At 50.6% G+C, this 12,814-nt stretch overlaps 1 protein-coding gene across 1 annotated transcript in view, besides 4 other annotated features; it reads right to left on the bottom strand.

The window, feature by feature from the left end:
- TMEM120B (transmembrane protein 120B) overlaps window positions 1-7,713 on the bottom strand; it is a 69,317-nt gene extending 61,604 nt beyond the window's left edge. The window contains exon 1 of the mRNA NM_001080825.2: window positions 7,501-7,713. Coding sequence (NP_001074294.2) covers window positions 7,501-7,569 — 69 coding nt within the window. The 5' untranslated portion in view covers window positions 7,570-7,713. The remainder of the gene's footprint in view (window positions 1-7,500) is intronic.
- Window positions 7,242-7,371: a silencer, noted in NCBI's record as "silent region_4986". NCBI's record gives its function as "represses an Ori minimal core promoter by ATAC-STARR-seq in GM12878 lymphoblastoid cells {active_cell/tissue: GM12878}" and the evidence as "EXISTENCE:reporter gene assay evidence [ECO:0000049][PMID:35858748]".
- Window positions 7,552-7,601: a silencer, noted in NCBI's record as "silent region_4985". NCBI's record gives its function as "represses an Ori minimal core promoter by ATAC-STARR-seq in GM12878 lymphoblastoid cells {active_cell/tissue: GM12878}" and the evidence as "EXISTENCE:reporter gene assay evidence [ECO:0000049][PMID:35858748]".
- Window positions 7,612-7,871: a silencer, noted in NCBI's record as "silent region_4984". NCBI's record gives its function as "represses an Ori minimal core promoter by ATAC-STARR-seq in GM12878 lymphoblastoid cells {active_cell/tissue: GM12878}" and the evidence as "EXISTENCE:reporter gene assay evidence [ECO:0000049][PMID:35858748]".
- Window positions 12,249-12,298: an enhancer, noted in NCBI's record as "active region_7181". NCBI's record gives its function as "activates an Ori minimal core promoter by ATAC-STARR-seq in GM12878 lymphoblastoid cells {active_cell/tissue: GM12878}" and the evidence as "EXISTENCE:reporter gene assay evidence [ECO:0000049][PMID:35858748]".

Genomic DNA, 12,814 nt, shown 5'->3' with positions numbered 1-12,814 from the left:
GTGCTGGGATTACAGGCATGAGCCACTGTGCCTGGACAAGAGATTACTTTTATATAGCTCTAAGAAATCAACTTCAAATAGACTTTCAGACGCTGACTATACTTAACCAGGACTCATCACCATAGAAACACCACCAAGGATGACTTCGCCTAACGTGTATGCGTCCTGTGCGGGACAGATTCTGAGTCATGTGTCAGAATCCATGAACGGTATGTTACGGGAGCGGTAAGTGGGGGTCTGTGCGTGGGAGGCACGCATTTGGGTGGCATGAAAACACAATGGTTAAGTGATTTGATGCTGCCATCAAGTTGCCCGAGTTCAGATCCAGAGCCTGCCACTTATTAGCTGAGTTATGTAATCCCTCTGTGCCTCGGTGTCATCAGCTGTGAAAGAGCTAGGAGATGAGGTGCATGCAGCAGGCTAGGCACTGTCACAAAGATGTGACATCATCAAGAATGTAGTGTGGGCCGGGCAAGGTGGCTCATGCCTATAATCCCAGCACTCTGGGAGGCCGAGGTGGGCAGATCACCTGAGGTCAGGAGTTCGAGACCAGCTGGCCAACATGGTGAAACCCTGTCTCTACTAAAAATACAAAAATTAGCCAGGTGTGGTGGCATGTGCCTGTAGTCCTAGCTACAGCTACTCAGGAGGCTGAGGCAGGAGAATCACTTGAACCCGAGAGGCAGAGGTTGCAGTGAGCCGAGACAGAGCCATTGTACTCCAGCCTGGACAACAAGAGCAAAACTCCGTCTCAAAAAAAAAAGAATGCAGTGTGGCCTAACATGCAACTGTGAACCACCCCCTTAAACTACCCCCGTTAGCAATTTAAGCAGTGTCCAATCGATGCCACTGTTTCCCTTGAAGAAAAAAACATTTTTTGAGACAGGGTCTCACTCTGTCACCCAGGCTGGGGTGCAGTGGCAGGATCTCAGCTTACTGCAACCTCCACTTCCTGAACTTAGGTAATCCTCCCACTTCAGCCTCCCAAGTAGGTGGGACCATGGGTGCACGCCACCATGCCTAGCTAATTTTTGTGGTTTTTTGTAGAGTCAGGGTCTTACTACATTGCCCAGGCTGGTCTCAAACTCCTGGGCTCAAGCGATCTACCTGCCTCAGCCTCCTGTTGGGATTACAGGCATAGGCCACTACACCCAGCCAACAATTTCTATTAGCCCCCCAAAAGGTGCCTGTCCAGCATCCCTCTCTCTGTTTTTTTTTTTTAAACTACCAGCTTTTTGATTTTCCTTCATGGGACCATCCCTCCCCAACTCGTTTCATGTAGTGTGGTGGCACTGATCCCACTTTTAGGCTTCAGGAGCAGATATGTGACCGTGACCTGGCCAATCAGTGCCACAGTGACTGGTTAAGTAAGGCATAGTCACATGACCCAAGCTGGGCCAATGAGAGTCAGCCCTGGGACGCTTGCTGAAACCACAGGGGGAAAGGATGCTCTGTTTCTGCCAGAGCTGCTAAGCTGACAGATGTCAGCTGAGGGCCACCTGGCCATCTTTGCCACAACATGGGAGGGACTGCCTGAGAATAATGCTGACACAGAGGAGAGAGAGAGAGACATCCACACACAGACACAGACATCACCTGAGCTCCTGGATCCAGCCTTGCCTGAAGCCATTTGCCACTAGACTTGACTCAATAAACCCTCTTTTGGCTTAAAACCAGTCAGACTGGGTTTTTTTCATTTGCAACTAAGAGTCCTGATAGTGCATTGTGTGAAAGCACTATATAAATGAAAAGGGACCCAGCAAGTTCAAAACTTTTCTTCTAGAGCTAAGAGTCTCAGGATACTTTTGGAGCCCACGGTATTAGTATCTGAGTTATACAGCAGGCATGGGTTCGAATTCTGGCTCCATGACTTTCAAGTTACTCAGCATCTCTTAGCTTCAATCTCCTCATCTAAAAAACAGGGTTGTCATTCATTCATTCACTCATTCATTTATTTTTGAGACAGGATCTCACTCTGTCACCCAGGCTGGAGTACCCTGGCACGATCTTGGCTCACTGCAACCTCCGCCTTCTGGGTTCAAGCGATTCTTCAGCCTCAGCCTCCCAAGTAGCTGGGATTACAGGAGCGAGCGACCAATGCCCAGCTAAGGTTTTTTTTTGTTTTTTGTTTGTTTGTTTGTTTTATAGTGATGGGGTTTCACCATGTTGCCCAGGCTGGTCTTGAACACCTAAGCTCAAAGTGCTCTGCCCTCCTTAGCCTCCCAAAGTGCTGGGATTACAGGCATGGGCCACTGCGCCAGGCCATGGGTTGATATTTAGATTAAATGGGATAATCTGTGTTTCACGCAGTTAGCTATTATTGTTATTGTTGTTGTTATGATTATTATTATTGTCAGCCTTTGTTTTTAGATAAAGAAACTCAACCTGAGAGAGGTGGCTCACCAAATTCAGATACTAGACAATGGCAAAGCTAGGACCTGAACTCAAGAATACTGATTCCCTGTGCAGTGTCTTTTTCTGCACAATCTGCTACTAAAGAAAGATGCCCGGCTGGGTGCGGTAGCTCACGCTTGTAATCCCAGCACTTTGGGAGGCTGAGGCAGGCGGATCACAAGGTCAGGAATTCGAGACCAGCCTGGCCAACATAGTGAAACCCTGTCTCTACTAAAAATACAAAAATTAGCCAGGAGTGGTGGCACACATCTGTAATCCCAGCTACTCGGGAGGCTGAGGCAGGAGAATCGCTTGAACCTGGAAGGCGGAGGTTGTGGTGAGCTGAGATCGAGCCACTGCACTCCAGCCTGGGCAACAGAGCGAGACTCCGTCTCAAATAAAAAAGAAAGAAAGACGCCCCACAAGCCAAGATAGAAGAGAAACAAAAGCTAACAGGAGTACTCAGGGCACAGATGAGCCTAGGGCAGTAGTTAAGAGCACAGACACTGGTGTTCAACAGCCTGGGTTCGAATCCTGGCTCCTGCACTGACAGGCCATGTGACCTTGGATAAGTGACTTAACCTCTGTAAAACAGAGATTCTAGGATCAATTTCATAGGGTTATTAATGAAATAATGCTGATCTTCTTGCTTCGAGCCTGTCTCCCTGATGTCTATTCTATACACAGCAGCCAGACGGATGTACATGTCATTAGCAGTAAAAGCCAAAATCTTTACCATGGCCTTCAAGGCCCTTGCATCACTGTGAGGTCAGACTTAGGGAAAAGCTGCTACGGGCCACCTTCTTCCTTGGCTGGGAGGAACGAGATCAGGTTTCCAGTGATGCAAGGCAGGAAATGCTCATTAAATTACTTGCCCTTGTGTCTGTAAGTGACCTTCTGCGGTCACGCCACAGGCCAGGAGACCAGGAGCACACTGGTCTCAGACTAGCACTCAACTCACCAGCATGCCTGAAACCCCAGCCACCCAAAAACTAAGTCCTCATGGAGACTCAACTGTGCCCCAGGGTTCAGGAAGGCCCTGACACATGCAAATCACAGTCCAAAGAAAACTGATCCTTTCCTCTCCTCAGTCCCAGAGATTACATTGGGTTTTCTTGGGGTGGGGAGGAGGGAAATTCCAAAGATCTTTCAAATCTTCTGGGGTCTGAGAATTAGGTTTGCTCTTTCTTTCCTTCATTCAAAAAAGGAAAGCCAGGTGCAGTGGCTCACGCCTGTAATCCCAGCACTTTGGGAGGCCAAGGCAGATGGATCACGAGGTCAGGAGTTCTAGACCAGACTGGCCAAGATGGTGAAACCCTGTCTCTGCTAAAAATATAAAAATTAGCCGGGCACGGTGGCGGGTGCCTGTAATCCCAGCTACTCAGGAGGCTGAGGCAGGAGAATAGCTTTAACCCGGGAGGCAAAGGTTGCAGTGAGCCAAGATTGTGCCACTGTACTCTAGTTTGGGCGACAGAGCAAGACTGTGTCTCAAAAAAAAAAAAAAAGAAAGAAAAAAAAAGAGAAAAAGAGGTAAGACACAGAGACATTACACATTGTTACACATCACCCCAGAATCAATGAGATACAAATATGAAACCCTCAACCCGGATTCTAAGGAAGATGTAGGAAAATTAAAATAGACCAGGATTTTCTAGTAGAAAAAAAATCCTTCCTATTGTTAAGCTTTCTAGTTCAGTGTGCCCACCTACCTACCTGCTGTTACCTGCTTGTTCCCCAACAAATCTCTTTTTTTTTTTTTTTGAGAGAGAGGGTCTAACTCTGTCACCCAGGCTAGAGTACAGTGGTGCAATCATGGCTCACTGCAGCCTTGACCTCTGGGGCTCAAACAGCCCTCCTACTCCAGCCTCCCTAGTAGCTGGGACCACAACCATGCACCACCACACCCAGCAATTTTTTTTTTTTACTGTTTGTAGAGACAGGGGTTTCCCTATGTTTCCCAGGCTGGTCTCAAACTGCTGGGCAATCCTGCTGGGAGCGGTCCTCCCAACTTGTCCTCCCAAAGTGCTGAGATTACAGGTATGAGCCAATGCACCGAGCTCCCAACAAATATCTCGTATCCGAAACTGCCCAGCACATACGCAATGGACATCCTACTTACCATATACAGAGTCCCAGAGCCTTGCATCTTGAGAGTTCAGAGCTCTCACATCTAACATGAAGGGGAACGTGAGAAGGCAGAGAGGGGCCTACCAATATTTAGAGAACTAAATTATGGCCCCAACTTTACCACTAACTAGCTGTGTGGCCCCCGTCCAGGGAATCAGCATGCCCAAGCTTCAGTTTCCTCATCTGTGAATTGAAGATGTAGATGGCAGTTTCTGCTCCGATCTATGATCTTGACACCGGGAGCCATCCCTGACTGGCCCCTGACCCAGCAGGTGACCACCAAAGCCTGCAGCAAGCAGGCTCCCTCTTCCCCAAAGTAGGATGCAGTCCCTTCTAGTTCCCCCATCATGAACCGAGCAGGAGGCATCAGTTTCCACTCACTCAGACCTTCTTCTACAACCCTTGCTGTGCACCAGGGAACAAAATCAAGAATTGATTCCCAATCCCTTTGTCCCTAACATACCTCAGCATCTGAGGACCAAGTCCTAAGAAAGAGTCAAACAACTCCTTTGCAACCTCTGCCTGCCAAGACTTGCTATCTAATTGCTGTTAATTGCATTAATTGCACAGCTCTTAAGTGTTGTTGCTGTTTTTTGTTTTGTTTTGTTTTTGAGACGGAGTCTTGCTCTGTTGCCCAGGCTGGAGTGCAATGGCACAGTCTTGTCTCACTGCAACCTCCCCCTCCCAGTTTCAAGCAATTCCTGCCTCAGCCACTCGAGGATCTGGGATTATAGGTACATGCCACCACACCCAGCTAATTTTGCATTTTTAGTAGAGACAGGGTCTCACTGTGTTGGCCAGGCTGGTCTCAAACTCCAAACCTTGTGATCCACCCGCCTCGGTCTCCCAAAGTTCTGGAATTACAGGCATGAGCCGCCGCGCTGGGCCTCACTCTGAAGTGTTAAGACTCTTCCCCCTCCTCCTCCTTGTCTAAGGCAAAGCAAGGGACAGGAATTATGAACAACACAAGCTTCACACAGCAAACCTCTTCTCTTCTCCCATTCCCAACCCTAACACCCACTTGGTTCCACAGCTGACCATGACCTCCGAGCCCAGTAAGACAAAGCATTAAGAAGTGGCTGAGGACCAGGCACGGTGGCTCACTACTGTAATCCCAGCACTTTGGGAGGCCGAGGCAGGCAGATCACGAGGTCAAGAGATTGAGACCATCCTGGCCAACATGGTGAAACCCTGTCTCTACTAAAAATACAAAAATTAGCTGGGCATGGTGGCGCGCACCTATAATCTCTGCTACTTGGGAGACTGAGGCAGGAGAATCGCTTGAATCCGGGAGGCGGAGGTTGCAGTGAGCCACGATCGTGCCACTGCACTCAAGTCTGGTGACAGAGCAAGACTCTATCTCAAAAAAAAAAAAAAAAAAAAAAAGAAGTGGCTGAGGGCCAGGCACAGTGGCTCATGCCTGTAATCTCAGCACTTTGGGAGGCCGAGGTGGGTGAATCACCTGAGGTCAGAAGCCTGGCCAACATAGTGAAACCCTATCTCTACTAAAACACAAAAAAATTAGCCGGGCACGGTGGCGCACACCCGTAATTCCAGCTACTCAGGAGGCTGAGGCAGAGAATGGCTCGAACCCGGGAGGCGGAGGCTGTAGTAAGCCGAGATCACGCCACTGCACTCCAGCCTGGGCGACAGTGAGACTCTGTCACAAAAACAAAACAAAACAAAACAAAACAAGAAGTGGCTGAGTCTTCTCCGTGGGAGTGGAGCCAAAACAGTCCCCTGAGAACCGGATGGGACCCAGGCCCTAGAAGAGAAGGCATCAACCTACACATGCTGGACAGGTCGAGATGTGTCTAGGTCCCTTCCCCTCTATTCATGCCTGAAAGGGCACCCCCATTCCTGCCCCGGCTCTCCAGCAACCCTCTGTCTATTGATCAGAATCTACAACCACGTGTCTAGAAAGACCCATCAGAGACACCCTTGGCAACCTCCTCTCCCCTCTGCACACTGTAGGAGGCCAACTGAACTGCAGACAAGAGGTACATGGACAGGGACAATGTCACTGCTCCAAATGAGAGGACTGGGGTGATAGTGTGCAATGTAATTTCAGGCAAAGCCAACCCCCCGAAAAACAATCCCGTGACTGGAGAGGGAACAGCCCTGTCTTCAAAAATAGTCACCGAGTCCCTCTTGGTCAACCCCAAGGTTTCCTGAGGCGTCTCTAGTCAACACGGTAGGTAGCTGGGGCCTCTCTGAACCTCTTAGCAGGAACAACTGCTGCCAGGACCGCTCCCCACACCCAGCAGCAATGCCATTCTCTCAGGGGACCCCCGCCTTACACCCGCCCTCACTCCACCCCGTGTAAGGCTCCGGGCCAGAAGGATAGAGCTGGGAGTTTCCCCTATCACTGGGTGAGGCTACTCAGCTGTCCGAACTGACAGATGCTCTCCACGCCAAAATCAGCCTGCAGCAGCGTCAGAGCCCCCAAAGACAGGAAATAGGGGTCCCTAATCCCCAAGCACAACCTAGAGGTTCAAGGTGAACAGCTCTTAAGTACACCTCCCAAAACAGAGCTGCAGGATAGTGCTGCCCCGCCAGAGCACGGGGTGGGAGCTGAGCTACCAAAAGCAGATGGGAGGGGGCGGGGTGAGATCTGGGGAGACCCTGCAGAGGTGGGGGCTGGGCTGTTCTCTTTGAACCACCCCCACAGATGAACACGCCTGGAACTTGCCTCAGAGGCCACAGACCAACTTTCTGCAGCGAAGGGGGTGCGTGGAGCAGAGAGCCAGTGGGAGGGCGGCGGAAGAGGGGGCTGCGACCCGGCGCCCCACGTGGACGAAGAGCTGAAGCGCCGGGTGATGGGAGGGGGCTGGTCCATGCCTCCCGTCCGCCCCCAGGGCCTCTCCGGGGCACTCCCTAGGCCCTGACTGTCCCCACCGCCCGGGCCGGGGGGCTCAGGAAGGGCAAGGCGCTGCACCGCGGGCAGCAGAGTTGCGGGACCAGGTGGCCTGGCCCTACCTGCAGTTCTTGAAATTCTCCCTCCAGCTCGTGCCATTCGCGCTCGCAACGCTCCAGCTGCCCGGACATGATGCGATGGTGCAAGGCGGCGGTGCCGGCGGCTGCTCCCGCAGCGCTGCCCGACCGGCCCCCCAGCGCCCCACGCCCGCGCGCTCGCCGACCGCCCTCGGAGGCACCAGCTGTTCCTGCGCAGCCAGAGCCACGCGCGCAACTGACGTCACGGCCCCGCCCCGGCGCCCGCCCCGCCCCACGCCTGGGAGGCGGGGCCGCGCGTGCGCATGTGCCCCGCCCCGCCCCGCGTGCGGCGTTCCGGACCGGGACATGGCAGGCTCGCAAGGTCTTTCGGGGTCTGTTGCGGCCCCCTTGGCAGTGCCTCTGCGCCTCCAGAATCTGTCTCTTCCAGGAAGAGTTGGGGGACTTGTCTGCAGGTTGCATTTGCAGAGATTATTTGACTTAGATTGTGTGTTTTGGGGGTGTCTAGAGTTTGGGGAAAGGAGATTTGGGGGAGGTGAAATGAAAGCTCACCGGCCCCTGGTCATTGCCTGACTTGAGCCCAGGCCAGCGCCCCGGAAGGCTGGCGCTGACATCGACCATCCAAAAAGGTCGGGGGCCGGGCGGCGCAGCGCAGAGAGGGCACGGTCATTTCACGTTGTCATTATTATGTGCTGCAGCTAATACATCCTAGATTCCTGCCCTCTAACGCTCTGGGTGACGTTCTTAACAGCTGTTTCTGTCGCTCAAGGGACAACCGCCTCCAAGCTGATTAAATCCAGTTCTGTCCCCTCCTCTGCCAAGTCCTGCAAGAACTGCCCCTGCCTAGCTTTCCAGTCCCTTCTATCTCACCGCCCTGGACTCGTACCCTCCAGCCATTGCTTTTTCTCTTCCTGACCTTGCATGGAACTTTCTTCCCTCTAAATCTTCATACGATGTGCCTTTTTTTCATCATTCAGGCCTCAGTTTCAAATGACACCTGTGTTACTTTACTTTTTTATCTTTCTTTTTTCTTCTATTTTTATGGGTGTTTTTTTTTTTTTCTGTCGCCTAGGCTGGAGTGCAGTGGTGTGATCTCAGCTCACTGCAACTTCCGCCTCCCGGAATCAAGTGCGTCTCATACCTCAGCCTCTGGAGTAGCCAGGTTATACCACATCCAGCTAATTTTTGTATTTTTAGTAGAGGCGGGGTTTTGCAGTGTTGGCCAGGCTGCTCTCGAACTCCTGACCTTAAGTAATCCGCCCGACTTGGCCTCCCAAAGTGCTAGGATTACAGGCATGAGCCACCGTGCCCGGCCCCCTGTGTTCGTTGCTAAAGCTGCCATAACCACAACCTGGGTAGTTTAAACAATAGAAATGTATTCTCACCAACGGGGGCAACATAAGGAGACCTTGTTTCTACAAAAAATTTACAGATTAGCTGGGTGTGGTGGCACGCGCCTGTGGTCCCAGCTACTCCGGAGGCTGAGGTCCAAGAATTCCTTGGGCCTGGGAGGTCAAGGCTGCAGTAAGCTATGATTGCACCACTGCACCCCAGCCTGGGTAACAGAGCGAGACCCAGTCTCATAAAGAAAGAAGGAGGCCGGGCGCGGTCGCTCACGCTTGTAATCCCAGCACTTTGGGAGGCTGAGGCAGGAGGATCACCTGAGGTTGGGAGTTCAAGACCAGCCTGACCAACATGGAGAAACCCCATCTCTACTAAAAACACACAAAAAAATTAGCCAGGTGTGGTGGCACATGCCTGTAATCCAGTTACTCAGGAGGCTGATGCAGGAGAATCACTTGAACCAGGGAGGTGGAGGTTGTGGTGAGCTGAGATCGTGCCATTGCACTCCAACCTAGGCAACAAGAGTGAAACTGAGTCTCAAAAAAAAGAGAGAGAGAGGAAGGAAGGGAGGGAAGGAAGGAAAGAAAAAAAGAAAAGAAAGAAATGTATTGTCTCACAGTTCTGGCATCTAGAAATCTGAGAGGAAGGTGTCAGCAAAGCAGTGCTCCCTCTGAAGCTCTGGGCAGAATCCTTCCCTCCTCATAGCTTGTGGGTGTATGTGGTGGCGGGGGGCTCCTTCACTGGCGTTCCTTAGCTCGCAGCTGCATCACCCCAATCTCTACCCTGTTGCACCGTCTTCTTTCCTGTGTGCATGTCTGTGTGTGTCCTCTCTTAAAAAGACACCCTTTCTGGCCAGGCATGGTGGCTCACGCCTGTAATCCCAGCACTTTGGGAGGCCGAGGTGGGCAGATCACTAGAGGCCAGGAGTTGGAGACCAGCCTGGCCAACATAGTGAGACCCCATTTCTACTAAAAATACAAAAATTAGCCGGGCATTATGGTACAAGCCTGTATTCCCAGCTCCTTGGGAGGCTGAGATGGGAGGATCACTTGAGCTCCAGAGGTCGAGGCTGTAGTGTGTTGGGAAAAGCTGAGTGTTGGGAGAAGCTGAGGCAGGGCTTGTATGTCTGACACAATGTAAAAGAGTCTTGGAACATGTCCAGGGTCCAAGGTCTAAAACCCCTTGTGGCCTTTGGAACACCAAGCTCTGTGCTAAAGGGTGGAAGGCTGCCCTGATGCACCATAATCTAAGCCCAGGGCATAAAACCCCTCGTGGCTTGGATAGAATCCAGGGCTCGTGGCTCTGGAATGTGTCTAGACTTGCTGGCTCCTTGCTCCTTGCTCACCCAGGATCAATTGTATCTTGTGTTAAAAGAACCTGCTCTCCATTATCTTAAGTAGCGGAGCAAATGCTAAACCATCACAGCTGTAAATCATGGGCTTAATGCAACGTGCCCTCTTGACCTCCACATTCTCACCACCTGTTTCTCTGTTGGATTACCAATAAATAGCATGGGCTCCCAGGGCTCGGGGCCTTCGCAGCCTCCAGTAGTGAGCTGTCATCACACCACTGCACACTAGCCTGGGTGACAGGACAAGAGCCTCTCTCAAAAAAATAAAAATAAAAAAAAGACACCCTTTCCTAGTGTGATCACATCTCAACTTTACATCTGGAAAGGCCCTATTTCCAAATAGGGTCACATTCCAAGTGTTAGAAAGTGATACTAAGTGTTAAGTGATACTAAGTGTTACTAAGTGTTAAAGTTCATTCCTTTAACAAATATTTACTGAGGGTCTACTATGTGTCAAGCCCTCGGGTTCCAACAAAGCCTGAGACACAGACAAGTTCCCTGAGATCTTGTGGAGGTTACATTCCCGTGGAGGGAAACAACCACATAGTGGATACTTAATTGTTGAGTAAATGTTGAGTTGCCTGGGCAACATAGCAAGACCCTGTCTTTGAAAAAAAAAAAAAAAAGATTGAGTATCTACTATGTGTCAGACATTGTTCCAGGCATTAGAGACATAGGAATGAGGCCAGGCGCAGTGACTCACACCTGTAATCCCAGCATTTCGGGAGGCTGAGGCAGGCAGATCACTTGAAGTTCTGGCCTCCCAGTGGCTCACACCTGTATTCGCAGCACTTTGGGAGGCCAAGGCAGGTGGATCACTTGAGGCCAGGAGTTCAAAACCAGACTGACCAACATGGTGAAACCTCGTCTCTACTAAAACTACAAAAATAAGCCAGACATGGTGGCTGGCACCTGTAATCTCAGCTACTCGGGAGTCTGAGGCAGGAGAATCGCTTGAACTTGGGAGGCGGAGGTTGCAGTGAGCCAAGATCGCGCCACTGCTCTCCAGCCTGGATGACAGAGCGAGACTCTGTCTGAAAGAAAGAAGGAAGGAAGGAAGGAGGGAAGGAAGGAAGGAAAGAAAGACGGAAAAAAGGGAGAAAGGAAAGAAAGAAAACAGAACATGTCTTTTTGGGGAACACAGTTCAAACCCATAATACCACCTCTGAAAAAAGACCCTTCCTGAACACCTGGAGGGCCGGCCTCCCCCCATCACCCCATCACTTCCCTATCACCTGTTTCATTTCCTTCCTGTGACTTACCATCATCTGTAATTGTTTGTTCCCATGGTGGTTGGTTGTTTCCCTCCATAGGAATGTAACCTCCACAAGATCTCAGGGAACTTGTCTGTGTCTCAGGCTTTGTTCAGCCCCAAGGCTTGGCACATAGTAGGCCCTCAATAAATATTTGTTAAAGGAATGAACTTTAAAGACCATCTAGTGCAGAGGTCCCCAACTTTTGGGGTTCAAAAGCCCCTCTGAGGATTTGTAATGGGAAATATGCACATAAGCACACAGAGAAATATTTGCAGGTCTTAATTGAGGACTGAAGAGGGGTGTGACCTGCCCACGATTCCCAGCTAATTAATGGCTCACTTTGAATTAAAGTTATCATCTCTGACTCCTAAACCAGAGCCCTATCAATTAATTAACAAATCAGAGGTTCCCAAGCTCGCTGGTGGACTGTGGGGCAGTCAAGTTCAAAAATTGTCTGTGGCATTGCAAGTATCGGCCCCCGGGGGTGGGAACATTCAGGTGCATAAAGGTTGGTTTCTGTCTTCAGATCAGTAGTTTCCAGGGTCTAATGCTGGAACTGCAAACTGAAAAGGAGAAATCACTCATCTATTTTTAAAATATTTACTAAAACATGGCCAGGCGCAGTGGCTCACGCTTGTAATCCCAGCACTTTGGGAGGCCGAGGTGGGGAGATCACCTGAGGTCAGGAGTTCAAGACCAGCCTGGCCAACATGATGAAATCCTGTCTCTACTAAAAATACAAAAATTAGCTGGGTGTGGCTATAATCCTAGCTACTCTGGAGGCTGAGGCAGGAGAATCGCTTGAATTCAGGAGACAGAGGTTGCAGTGAGCTGAGATCGTGCCACTGCACTCCAGCCTGGATGACAGAGACTCCGTCTCAAAAGAAAAAAATATATATGTATATAGGCCAGGTGTGGTGGCTCATGCCTATAACCCCAGCACTTTGGAAGGCCGAGGTGGGTGGATTGCTTGAGGTCAGGAGTTTGAGACCAGCCTGACCAACATAGTGAAACCTCGTTTCTACTAAAAATACAAAATTAGCCAGGCATGGTGGCGACGCCTGTAATCCCAGCTACTCTGGAGGCTGAGACAGGAGAATCACTTGAACCCAGGAGGCAGAGGTTGCAGTGGTCCAAGATGACACCATTGCACTCCAGCCTGGGTAACAAGAGCGAGACTCCGTTTAAAACAAAAAAATACGTGTGTGTGTGTGTGTGTGTGTGTGTGTGTGTGTGTGTGTATTTATTGATTAAAACAATGTTGGGCCGGGCACGGTGGCTCACGCCTGTAATCCCAGCACTTTGGGAGGCTGAGGCGGGTGGATCACAAAGTAAGGAGATCCAGAACATCCTGGCTAACACAGTGAAACCCCGTCTCTACTAAAAATAC

This window comes from Homo sapiens, chromosome 12 (genome assembly GCF_000001405.40).
Source record: "Homo sapiens chromosome 12, GRCh38.p14 Primary Assembly".
NCBI lineage: Eukaryota > Metazoa > Chordata > Mammalia > Primates > Hominidae > Homo > Homo sapiens.
The sequence above is the reverse complement of the archived record's forward strand: the minus strand, read 5'-3'. Positions and strand labels throughout refer to the sequence as shown.